Source organism: Homo sapiens, chromosome 13 (assembly GCF_000001405.40).
Source record: "Homo sapiens chromosome 13, GRCh38.p14 Primary Assembly".
Classification (NCBI taxonomy): domain Eukaryota; kingdom Metazoa; phylum Chordata; class Mammalia; order Primates; family Hominidae; genus Homo; species Homo sapiens.
The window spans coordinates 22,870,543-22,884,139 of record NC_000013.11 but is presented as its reverse complement, the minus strand read 5'-3'; the positions used below and the strand labels follow the sequence as shown (position 1 = coordinate 22,884,139).

The 13,597-nt window shown below is 41.2% G+C and overlaps 1 long non-coding RNA gene across 1 annotated transcript in view, besides 1 other annotated feature; it reads left to right on the top strand.

Moving 5' to 3' along the window:
• LINC00621 (long intergenic non-protein coding RNA 621) overlaps positions 1-7,748 on the top strand; it is a 39,978-nt gene extending 32,230 nt beyond the window's left edge. The window contains exon 3 of the long non-coding RNA NR_138043.1: positions 7,666-7,748. This is a non-coding gene — a long non-coding RNA (long intergenic non-protein coding RNA 621). The remainder of the gene's footprint in view (positions 1-7,665) is intronic.
• Positions 398-447: an enhancer, noted in NCBI's record as "active region_7448". NCBI's record gives its function as "activates an Ori minimal core promoter by ATAC-STARR-seq in GM12878 lymphoblastoid cells {active_cell/tissue: GM12878}" and the evidence as "EXISTENCE:reporter gene assay evidence [ECO:0000049][PMID:35858748]".
• Positions 7,749-13,597: the final 5,849 nt, after the last annotated feature.

Here is a 13,597-nt window from a genome sequence, read left to right as displayed (position 1 = left end):
GCTGGCCGGAGTCCCCTGCAGGGATGCTCCGCGGGGCAGGCCTAAGCTGCCTAAGGGGCTGCCTCGGCCATCCATCAGTCACCTCGTTTCCCTGTCAGGGAACCAAGAAATGTAGCAGGACGAGCCACAGACAAAACCTCTCAGACAACGAGTCGTAGAAGGAAGGGCTTTATTCAGCTGGGAGCATCAGCAAGCTACTGCCTCAAAATCTGAGCTCCCTGAGTGCACAATTTCTGTCCCTTTTAAGGGCTCACAACACTGAAGATTTCACATGAAAGGGTCGTGATTGATTTGAGCAAGCAGGGGGTACATGACAGGGGCTGCATGCACCGGTGGTCAGAAAGAAACAGAACAGGGTAGGGCGTTTCACAATGTTCTTTTATACAATGTCGGGAATCTATGAATAACATCGGTTTCTAAGTTATGAGTTGATTTTTAACTAATGGGTTTAGGCCAGGCAGGCCCAGGCCTGGTTTCAGACCTGGGGCTGGGCTGCCTGTCTTTGATTTCACTTCCTTATTTTTTTATTTAAATAGCTACTGAGTATAAAGCAATATGAGAGGGTCTCTTTCTTCCCTCAGGCAGGCTGAGGCAGGAGAATTGCTTGAACCTGGAGGTGGAGGTTGCGGTGAGCCGAGATGGTGCCATTGCCCTCCTGCCTGGGCAACAAGAGCAAAACTCCATCTCAAAAAAAAAAAAAAGATTTGACCTAATTGACTCCATCTTGCTCTTAACCTCCAAGCTGTCCTTGTTCATTCCTGGGCATAGACCGAACTAACTTTGGGAGGAACTTAGTTTACAATTTAGCTATGAAACAAAGATGATAACAGCCCTTTCCCAACAAACCTTCCCATTGTCTGTGAATTAGACTGCCTACAGCCGCAGGATTAGAAGTTATAGTAATCTTGCTAAATTCAAGATGCAGCTATTTTCATTATACCCATGTCAATGTCCTATTTATTAAAAATTACACAAGCAAAGATCATTCTGATTTGGGTTGGGTTTTATAACCCTTATGCCAAATTTTGACACCTTATAGTATTTGGTGGGGGTAAGTATGAAATTGCTTGATTAACAAATACAAACAAAAATGTCTGCTGGCAATTCTTAACACATTTCTAATATTACTTTGCCAATAATTTTAAAGCTAGCTTATTTATTAAAGATTTTATTTGTTACATAAACTTGAAAAAGCATTTGACTAGTCATTTTTTAGTATTTGATTTAAGCACTTTTATTTTTATGTCAATTAACTAGAGCTCTTTTTAGTAGTGAAACATTTTGTATACAACACATAAATACACAAAAAGACGTATTAGGCATACAGATGGAAGTACATTTTATAGATTTATAAAGACCCAGTCGGGTGTGGTGGCTCATGACTGTAATCCCAGCACTCTGGGAGGCCGAGGCAGGTGGATCACCTGAGGTAGGAGTTGGAGACAAGCCTGACCAGCATGGAGAAACCCTGTCTCTACTAAAAATACAAAAAAAAAAAAAAAAAAAAGCTGGGCATGGTGGCACATGCTGGTAATCCCAGCTACTCAGGAGGCTGAGGCAGGAGAATCACTTGAACCCAGGAGGTTGTGGTGAGCCGAGATGGTGCTATTGCATTTTAGCCTGGGTAACAAGAGTGAAACTTTGTCTCAAAAAAAAAAAACCAAAAACAAAAAAACGACAAAAGACCCCTGCATTTTGCATTTTTTCTGTCTTAGACTTTCAGATTCCAGATAACTGGTTTCACAGCCCTAGGCAGTTGTCAGCTAAATAGCCTTAAATTTGCACATTAAAGGAAACAACTCAGGTGAAAATCAAATAGCAAAATTTACATCATAAGGTACAGAAAAAAACGTCTGGTAGTGCTAGAGGGAGATGCTTTTACAGTGTACTTTTTTTTTTAAAGACATTTTTGAGTGTCTAAACTACATTCTTCTTTAAAAATCCAAGAGTAGCTTCTGTTGCAATACTATTTTAGTCAAAACATCAGGTGAAAACAGAATTCAGTCAACTGAGAAGAATACAAAAGCAAACTTTTGCTCAAAAAAAAAGCAAGGCCTTAGGAGAGTGGTCTCGGTTAACTTGGAAAGCTTGTTTGCCACAGTTGAGGCCGCGCCCACCACACAGCCTCAGGAAGTCCTGATGACATGTGCCCAAGGTGGTCCGGCCACAGCTTGGTTTTATACATTTTAGGGAGACATGAGACATCAATCAATATATAAGAAGTACATTAGTTCCGTCCAGAAAGGCGGTGACAGCTCAAAGCAAGGCCCCCCTACTGGGGGCTTCCAGGTCACAGGTAGGTGAGAGACAGATGGTTGCATTCTTTTGAGTTTCTGATAAGTCTTTCCAAAGGAGGCAATCAGAATATGCATCTGTCTCTGTGAGCAAATGGATGACTTGAACAGAATAGGAGGCAGATTTCCCTGAGCGGTTCACATCTTGAAGGGACCCAAGATATTTTTCCTTCACACACCTAACTTCTGAGATCTTATTTGGAAGCTGCTGATCACTAGTTACAGGTGTTTCTATTTATTGGGAGATTGTCGTTCCCTGGCGCCAGCTGCAACCAATTATTATTTTAGAGCGACTGTTTAACAACTGCCTGACCATCACTTGATGGTTGCCTGACAATCCTGGTGGGGGGCCCTTCTCCTGCCCTGCTCATGTCTGCCTGACTACCTTCTGCAACAGAGTATTCTCGTATCTAAAACTCTACTCTCTTTTGTATTGCATTACCTGATCTTTTTGGTTGAGGGGCGGGGTGGTAACAGAAATTATTTTGTATTTTGAAAAACTTGACTCTGGTGTGTATAATGGCTAGGGAATGGGCAGATCACAGAATGGGCTGATTGGTGTTGGGTTGCCCAAGGGGAATGTCTTTGTGATGAAATGCACTGTGAAAACATTGTATGGTCCCGTCCCCATGGCATGTCTCTTTTTGCAGACCTAAAATTCAGTGTGGGCTCTGTCCTAAGTTCAGCGGTCCAGTTAAAAGGTAGAGACCTATGTAAAGGAAATTGATCTCCTTATAAAATCTTTTAATACATTTATATAATTTTGTATTACCCTGGCATTAATTTTCAAATTGTCCTCTAGCACAGCCAAATTTCTTTTTTTTAAAAAAAGCTTAAATTCCCAGTCTCTTTCTATACTTTGAGATGCAAATTTTCTCCTTTAGAAATGCAAATTTAGGGTTGCCTAGCTAACAATTGCCTAGGGCAGTAAAACAGGTCATTGTAGGATGAATTAAAAAAACCGAACTATTTAAAACTGATGGATGAAAAATCTTATACATCTGTAAGAACTGCTTCTATGTTTCTGTTTATCTATTTATTTATATGTTGTATGTGTATGTGATGTTTCACTACCAAAATATATTGTAGCAGGACGAGCCACAGACAAACCCTCTCAGACACCGAGTTGTAGAAGGAAGGGCTTTATTCAGCTGGGAGCATCGGCAAGCTACTGCCTTAAAATCCGAGCTCCCCGAGTGCACAATTTCTATCCCTTTTAAGGGCTCAAAACACTAAAGATTTCACATGAAAGGGTCGTGATTGATTTGAGCAAGCAGGGGGTACATGACAGGGGCTGCATGCACCGGTGGTCAGAAAGAAACAGAACAGGGCAGGGAGTTGCACAGTGTTCTTCTATACAATGTCTGGAATCTATGAATAACATCGGTTTCTAAGTTATGAGTTGATTTTTAACTACTGGGTTTAGGCCAGTCAGGCCCAGGCCTGGTTTCGGGCCTGGCGCTGGGCTGCCTGTCTTTGGTTTTACTTCCTTGTTGTTTTTTCTTAAAACAGGTACTGAGTATAAAACAATATAAAATAATATGAGAGGGTCTTCCTTCAATATGAAAGCACTCTAATTGGCTTAATGAAAATGTGTTAAATCAAATATTTTATCATAAAAATAGAAACTTAAATGCCTTTTAGTTCATGTGACTTTAATAATCTTTAGTAAATAAAGACAGTTTTAAAATTATTGGTAAAATAAAATGGAAACATCTTCAGAATTTAGACATTTTGTCTGAGACTATTGGTCTACTGGTTTGATACTATATCTGCTAGATGTTTTAAGGTCAAAACTTGCTTTTATGTAATTTTTGATACATAACTCTTAAATAAACTTATGGTTTTAGATTTGAGCCTCTAAAATATAACAAGCCCTATTTCCAGGCATTGTCCTTTGTTCTGGACTCTGCATCTAGTACACAGTAAAAATTACTTCCTAAGTTTTTCACTAAAAATAAGAGTTACTAACAGTTAACATAATCAATGTATGTAGTGAAAACTACTAGATATAAAAGAAACAATTTAATATGCAAACTTAGAAAAGTAGATACGTTTTGGTAAAAAGCTTATGAGAAGGCATGGAAATATGTTTTCTCTTAAAGGGGAAGTAATTTTGCCTAGTCTAGAGGTTTTCTTAAATTAAAAGAGGAAAAAAGATGAATAAAACTAAAAACTAAACGGATATAGAAAGTTGAAAAGAAAGTAAATTTTTGTGCTAAGGCAGAATGATAGGATAAGGCTAAAGGTGTTAGGAAATTGAAGAAGGTTTGTGGAAGACAGATCTTGTAAAAGGAATTCTGTGTGTGATCAAGTTGGCTAAAATTTAAAAGATATTATTTAGTTTTTCTATAAATTCAGGATTAATATCAAAAGCACACTGATGCCACAGTCTGGGCTCCTGTGTGACAACAATGGTTTCCTTGGAGCATTAATCTGTTCTTTAATAGAAAACTATAACAGGCTATGAGAGGTTTATGGAAATCTTACCTTATGATCAAACTTATTAAGATTGGATGAATTTGTTTATAAGGTTTCATTAAAAATTAGTTTTAGCATGGTGACCTCCTGGGAGCAGGGGACTACCAGGTTGCCAACAGAGGGGTGAACTGGCCTAGGTCGGAAATGGGGCAGGGCAAAATTCGTGCTGATCAGTAATGGGATGGGCCTGTGAATAGCCACTGCCCTCCAGCCTAGGCAACATAGCGAGACCCTGTCTCTAAATTTAAAAAAAAAAATTATCTTTAGTGTTAATGCTACACTAATGTAAAAGTAAAATTTGGTTTTCTCTCTCTCTTTTTTTTTTTGACACAGAGTTTCGCTCTTGTCACCCAGGCTGGAGTGCAGTGGCCTGATCTGGGCTCACTGAAACCTCCGCCAGGTTCAAGCGATTCTCCTGCCTCAGCCTCCAGAGTAGCTGGGATTACAGGCGCCTGCCACCATGTCTGCCTAATTTTTATATTTTTAGTAGAGACAGGATTTTGCCATGTTGGCCAGGCTGGTCTCGAACTCCCGAACTCAAGTGATCCACCTGCTTCAGCCTCCCAAAGTGCTGGGATTATAGGCGTGAGCCATCGCGCCCGGCTGGTTTTCTATTTTGATAAAGAAAGATTTTTGTTTACCTCTTGAGTAAACTATAAAATAAAGAGGGAGAGAGGGAGATATTCAGTTCGCCTCATTCGATCTTTATTAGGTCATATTGTTTGGGAAACTGAGTCTCTGCTCTATCAAAAAGTGAATGATTTTTAAAGTCTTTGAATTATGATTGTGGCTAAGTGAATAATTTATTTTATAGTGACCTGTAATTCTATCTTGCGGTGTAGAGTGTTTTAAACATTTGACATTTGAGAAACTTTCAAACATTAAAATTTCAATTGTAATTCAGTATTTTTTTTACTTCATTAGCTTTTTTAGATAATAGGTCCCCTGAAGTCTAAAAGAAACACATTTGGCTTATTCGATATGTTAAAATCATATAGGAAACATTCAAATATGAAATGGTTTTTAAGTTTCTTTGGGTTCTACTTACATAAGTGTGTTATTAACATGTGTTCCAAAATTGTATGAGATCTTATAATTTTTTTTTTTTTGAGAAAGAGTCTCATTCTGTCACCCAGGCGGAATGCCGTGGCACAATGAGATCCTATAGTTCTGATTTGTCTGATAATCATAATAATCAAAATAAGTATTATTAAGTTAAATTTTAGTATGACACAGAAATAACCAAATTTCCTTATCTTTAACCATGGCTGTCCTAAAACTTTTGTCATCCACAGACAATTATTATTTTATTTGATTCTTCTCAAAAAGCAGTTAATAATCAGCTATAGTCCAAAACTTGCTTCTTTAGGGTAGTTCACAGAAAGGATTCTGATGGGTGCTTCAAATGTAAGTTTCTGACAACCTTGGAGATTTCATCAGTAGAGTAGAGAAACAAACTTCCAGAACTCTCATTGTAGAGCTACTGTGTTCATGAGGATTACTAATCCCAATATCAAATGAAATGAATTAATTTCATAGAACTGAACTAACAGAGGACTGAAATATATTTTATAACCCTTTTTGTTTGAAGCATTGTTGATTTTTTTTTTCAGTCAAGAAAACTTTTAGACATGAAATCAACCTAGGCGTCCATCAATAGTGGATTGGATAAAGAAAACGTGGTACATATACACCATGGAGTACTATGCAGCCATAAAAAATGAAATCATGTTCTTTGCGGCAACATGGATGCAGCCACTATCCTAAGTGAATTAATGCAGGAATAGGAAACTGAATACCACATGTTCTCATTTACAAGTGGGAGCTAAACATTTGGGAGCTCATGGACATAAAGATGGCAATGATATGCACTGGGGACTACTAGAGGTAGGAGGGAAGGAGGACGCATAGGTTGAAAACTACTGAGTATTATATTCACTACCTGGGTGATGGGAACATTTGTACCCAAAACCTCAGCACCATGCAATATACCCAGGTAGCAAACCTGTGCATATACCCCCTGAATCTAAAATAAAAATAGAAATTACTTTAAAAAGATAGCTTTTTTCTTTTGATCTATTTATAATTTTTAACAATTGAGTAAAGTATACTCTTATGACCAGAATCTGAAACACGTTTCTTTTTCTTTTTCTTCTTTTATTTTCTTTTTTGAGACGGAGTCTTGCTCTGTTACCCAGGCTGGAGTGCAGTGGTGCGATCTCAGCTCACTGCAAGCTCCACCTCCCGGGTTCACCATTTTCCTGCCTCAGCCTGCTGAGTAGCTGGGACTACAAGCACCCGCCACCACACCCAGCTAATTTTTTTGTATTTTTAGTAGAAACAGGGTTTCACCATGTTAGCCAGGATGGTCTCGATCTCCTGACCTTGTGATCCACCTGCCTCAACCTCCCAAAGTGCTGGGATTACAGGTGTGAGCCACAGCGCCCAGCCACGTTTCTTTTTCTTTTACCTGATTTCTCCAGAATTTGGAAACTTTTTTTTTTTTTTTTTTTTTTTGAGATGGACTCTGACTCTGTCACCCAGGCTGAAGTGCAGTGGCACGATCTCCGCTCACTGCAAGCTCTGCCTCCCGGGTTTACGCCATTTTCCTGCCTCAGCCTCCCAAGTAGCTGGGACTACAGGCCCCCGCCACCACGCCCGGCTAATTTTTTTGTATTTTTAGTAGAGACGGGGTTTCTCTGTGTTAGCCAGGATGGTCTCGATCTCCTGACCTCATGATCCGCCCTCCTCGGCCTCCCCAAAGTGCTGGGATTACAGGCATGAGCCACTGCGCCCAGCCGAATTTGGAAACTATTTTTGACAATCCTTAATTTATGGCAATATAATTATTTGCATAAGTTCAATAAGAATCTGTTTTCTCTTGTAACAGAACCCAATTGGAGACGTTGGATATTTTATCAAGTCTTTGACTGGAATGACATTTTTTCAGAAATAACCAGACTGCTTTGAGGAATTAAAATTGACTTTAAGGGCTGAGAAAAACCCCTTGGAAAAACTGGCATGGTACCCTCTGCATGCAATTCCTTTACAAAGCTCCTGACCTGTGGTGAGTAAAAAATTTCACCTTTGAATGGCCCGGAACCTCAAGTTACTTTGGAACATTGAGAAGAGAGGAATTCCCCCAATTCTTACAGGTGTCTGTTCATACAGCTATCTGCAGGCACAAATAAATCCTTGGCTGGGCCAGGGGCGGTGGCTCAAGCCTGTAATCCCAGCACTTTGGGAGGCCGAGGTGGGCAGATCACTTGAGGTCAGGAGTTCAAGACCAGCCTGGCCAACATGGTAAAACCTTGTCTCTACTGAAAAAACAAAAATTAGCCTGTGTGGTGGCAGGTGCCTGTAGTCCCAGCTACTTAGGAGGCTGAGGCAACAGAATCGCTTGAACCTGGGAGGCAGAGGTTGCAGTGAGCAGGGATGGCACCACTGCACTCCATCCTGGGCGACAGAGTGAAACTCCGTCAATAAATAAATAAATAAATAAATAAATAAATAACGTCTTAGGACTCCCGTCTCACTATGCCAAAGCGAAAAGTTAAGAGTGGGAACTGAGTCACGCATAAAACTGCCTTCTTTTTGTTCCCAAACAGAAAGAACCATGATTTCACATGCTTGCTTTATCTTACGGAAAATATAGATTTACTGAGCATGAAATGAATGCATAATTGACTTTTTCCTCTACGCCCTTCTTTGCATGTGTAAAATATAGATTCACTGAGTGCTAATCAATGCCTCACCACTTGCATCAATGCCTACCCTCCCTCCTTTTGTTTCTTCCACTCCTTCTTACTCTTTCCTGTTTAAATATTGAAGTTCACAAAACCTTCTTTGGAAAAAGCACAGGTGACAGGTACTACTTTAACTTGTGCTTCTTTTTCTTGAGTGCATCCTCAAAATCCATCTCTAATCAGTTGGGATCTGCCCTAGTAGTGGTTTACAATCCACAAATAGTCCTTTCCCAAAATTTTTTTCTGGGAAAATTTGGTTAGTGCTAGATCTTGCCAAAGGTCCTTGGGAGTTATTTCAGTAAGAGATAATAATTATTTGGTTATCTAATTGGCTTTCTTCTCATGATTTGTTAATCAGAGATGCCTCCATACTACAAAATAGAATGAGAGGTCATACTGAGAACAAGGAAGTAGAACAATAGAACAAAAGCTGACTGGTTAACTTCAGGTTCCTGCAGGTTACTTTGTTCATAAGCGTTAAAGCAGAGGGGACTTTTTTAGTATACTGACTCAGACTTGTATCCCCTGATTTCAGGAAAAACAAGTCTGATGTGGGATCTACCTGTTTCCTTAGAGTTCCAGTTTAATTATATGGTATTTAGCATGAGTGACTCCATTTTGGTTTAGTCTGGTCTCTTGTGGCCCAATTTGTAATAGCTCAGTCTAAAACAAGGGCCTCCCATAACTTTTGTTTAATCCTTCTTAGAACAACAGGGGATTTAAATACATTATGACCATTAATCTTAATAAGGTCAGCCAAAGTTGCTAGACACTTTTCAAGTTAGAAAGACTGAACATCTGCCCAGAAATAAAATGACCAACAAATGCAAATCTCCTACTTGAGGACCACTTTTTTTTAAGGTGTGTATGCCTCTATAAATAGATTATAAACAAACTTGTCTCTTTGTCTCCTAGTGAAGCAAAAGGAACCTGTGATGGGATTTCCTCATTGAGCAGAGGCTGTAATTGGATTTTATCTTGGGCAGAGAATATAGTTGAATTTCACCATGTATCCGTGATTTTTGCCCTGGAAAATGTAACTAAATGGGCCAGAACACCTCTTTCTCCATTATTTTTTTTTCTTTTTCTCTTTCTTTTTTTTTTTTTTTTTTTTTTTTTGAGACGGACTCTCGCTCTGTCGCCCAGGCTGGAGTGCAGCGGCACAATCTCGGCTCACTGCAAGCTCCGCCTCCCGGGTTCGCTCCATTCTCCTGCCTCAGCCTCCCAAGTAGCTGGGACTACAAGCGCCCACCACCACGCCCGGCTAATTTTTTGTATTTTTATTAGAGACCGGGTTTCACAGTGTTAGCCAGGATGGTCTCGATTTCCTGACCTCGTGAGCCGCTGCCTCAGACTCCCAAAGTGTTGGGATTACAGGCGTGAGCCACCACGCCCAGCACTCTTTCTCCACTTCTATATCAGTAGGGTGGCATAGCTTGAGGAGCCTCTGCTGTAGGTTAGGGGAACTTCTCTGTCATGATTTATCCACAGTTGCTGAGGACAAGATTTGGAGTGAGGCATGTTCAAATAACTAGGTGAGCCTATTCAGGCAGAGGGCTGAAAACTTTACATTTAACATTGGATTATTGTTCGTTGTTCATTTAATAAGCAGTAAAAAACATGAGAAAACTTTTGTTCCATCTCCTGATTTTTTTGAAATTTCCACTTCATTTTGTTAGGAAGACAGAGATACAGTGATGCCCAGGCTAGGTGGGCCTTCACACAATATGGTGCCTTAACCATATTGCTACACAGAGCTGTAGCTATTCCAGAGAAAATGCAGCAGAGACCACAGAGTGTCTGCCAGGCTTCCTCAATTTTACTGAAACACATGTACTACCTGCATGCGCTAATGAGAAATAAAAAGATTTCATAGTCATTTGGAGATTCAAAATGCTCACCATCAAGAGTGACTACTGTAAACGAAGGAGCCAAGGACAATTGCCAGGGAAAGAGTCAGATGAAAAAAATAAAGGAAGAAAGAAGAAAGGAAGGAAGAAAGGACAAAAGGAATGGAGGGAGGGAGGGAAAGAGGGAGAAAGGGAGAAATGAATGAAGGAGAAAGAAAAGGAAGTGAATGGTGTCAAACAGAAAACTTGCAAAAGAAAGTGGGTGGTTTGAAGTTTAGGATAAAGGGAATAAAAGATCCAGATAAATTTTTTAACAAGCAAATTAAAGTTATGAAATGCTAAGTGAAAGAAAACTGAAATCAGCCTAAGGAGCAGAACAATATTGCTCAGCAGGGGATGGTGGTTTTCAAGGTATCTGTCTTAGTCAATTCAGGCTGCTATAACAAAACATCATAGACTGGGTGGCTTAAACCACAAACATTTATTTTCCACAGTTCTGAAGGCTGGGAAGTCCAAGATTAAGGCGTCAACAGGTCTTGTGTCTGCTGAGGGCTGTCTCCCTGATTTGCAGATGTCTGCTTTCTTGCTGTGTCCTCACATGGGAAAAAGAGAGAGAATTTGCTGGTATTCCTTTTTATAAGGACACTAACCCCATTCATGAGGGTCCCACCCTCATGACCTCGCCTAAACCTATAACCTCCAAGGACTCCATTTCCAAATACCAGCAACCACATGTGTGAGCTTAGAAGAGGATCCTTCCCCAGGTGAGCCTTGAGATGACCCTGGCCTGTGACTTGATGGCAGCTTTTGAGAGACTGAGCCAGAGGCCTCCAGGTAAGCCCTTCTCAGATTCCTGAACCACAGAAACTGTGAGATAATCAATTTTATTGATATCTTGTGGATATTGATATCCCCAGTTTTATTGTGGAATAGATAACTGCCACACAGCTCCTGACAACTGGCATCTTGACACATGTTCTGTGCTCCAGGTCCCAGTAACTGTGCCCATCCATTGTTACCACAGGTCACAGTGGCCCTGGCCCTGGGGCATTATACTCTCTCTTGGTGTATTAGTCCATTCTTAGGCTGCTAATAAAGATATATCTGAGACTGGGTAATGTATAAAGAAAAAGAGGTTTAATGGACTCACTGTTACATATGGCTGGGGAGACCTCACAATCATGGAGGAAGGTGAAGGAGGATCAAAGGCACATCTTACATGGTGGCAAGACAGAGAGCATGTGCAGGGGAATTGCCCTTTATAAAACCATCAGATCTCATGAGACTTATTCACTATCATGAGAACAGCATGGGAAAAACCCGCCCGCATGATTCAATTACTTCCCACTGAATCCCTCCCATGACACATGGGGATTATGGGAGCTGCAATTCAAGATGAGATTTTGGGGGAAGGGCATAGCCAAACCATATCATTCTTCCCTGGGCCCCTCCCAAATGTCATGTCCTCACATTTCAAAATACAATCATGCCTTCCCAACAGTCCTCCAATGTCTTAACTCATTTCAACATTAACCCAAAAGTCCAAGTCCAAAGTCTCATCTGAGACAAGGCAAGTCCCTTTCGCCTATGAGTCTGTAAAATCAAAAGCAAGTTAGTTATTTTCTATATACAATGGGGGTACAGGCATTGAATAAATATTCCCATTCCAAATAAGAGAAATTGGCCAAAACAAAGGGGCTCCAGGCCCCATGCAAGTCTAAAATCCAGCAGGGCAGTCAAATCTTAAAGCTCCAAAATGATCTCTTTTGACTCCATGTCTCACATCCAGGTCACATTGATGCAAGAGGTGGGTTCCCATGGTCTTGGGTAGCTCCATCCTTGTGACTTTGCAGGGCACAGCTCCCCTCCCAGCTGCTTTCGCGGGCTGGCATTGAGTGGCTGTGGCTTTTCCAGGTTCATGGTGCAAACTGTCAGTGGATCGACCATTCTGGGGTCTGGAGGACAGTGGCCCTCTTCTCACAGCTCCACTAGGCAGTGCCCAATGGAGACTCTGTATAGGGGCTTCCACCCCACATTTCCCTTCCACACTGCCCTAGCAGAGGTTCTCCATGAAGGCTCTGCCCCTGCAGCACACCTCTGTCTGGACATCCAGGCATTTCCATACATCCTCTGAAATCTAGGCAGAGGTTTCCAAACTTCAATTCTTGACTGCTATGCACCTACAGGCTCAACACACCATGTGGAAGCTGCCAAAGCTTAGGGCTTGCACCCTCTGAATCCACGGCCTGGGCTGTACCTTGGCCCTTTTAGCCATGGCTGGAGCAGCTGGGATGCAGGGCACCAAGTCTAAAGGCTGCACACAGCAGGCGGGCCCTGGACCCAGCCCAGGAAACCATTTTCCCTCCCAGGCCTCTGGGCCTGTGATGGTAGGGGCTGTTGCAAAGGTCTCTGACTTGCCCTGGAAATATTTTCCCCATTGTCTTGGTGATTAGCATTTGGCTCCTTGTTACTTATGCAAATTTCTGCAGCTGGCTTGAATTTATCCTCAGAAAATGGGTTTTGCTTTTGTGCTGCATTGTCAGGCTGCAAATTTTTCAAACTTTTAAGCTCTGCTTCATCTTGAACACTTTGCCACTTTGAAATTTCTTCTACCAGATACTTTAAATCATCTCTCTCAAGTTCAAAGTTCCACAGATCTCTAGGGCAGGGGCAAAATGTCACCAGTCTCTTTGCATAGCAAGAGTGACCTTTACTCCAGTTCCCAACAAGTTCCTCATCTCCATCTGAGACCACCTCAGCCTGGACTTTATTGTGCATATCACTATCAACATTTTGGTCAAAGCCATTCAACAGTCTCTAGGAAGTTCCAAACTTTCCCACATTTTCCTTTCTTCTTCTGAGCCCTCCAAACTATTCCACCCTCTGCCTGTTACCTAGTTCCAAATTCACTTCCACATTTTGGGTATCTTTACAGCGGCACCACACTCTACTGGTACCAGTTTACTATATTAGTTCATTCTCACACTGCATTAAGACATACCTCGAGACTGGGTAATTTATAAAGAAAAAGAGGTTTAATGGAATCACAGTTCCACATGGCGGGGGAAGCCTCATAATCATGGAGGAAGGTGAAGGAGGAACAAAGGTATGTCTTACACGGCGGCAGGCAAGAGACCATGTGTAGGGGAACTGCCCTTTATAAAACCATCCAATCTAGTGAGACATTCACTATCATGAGAACGACATGGGAAAAACCTGCCCCCAT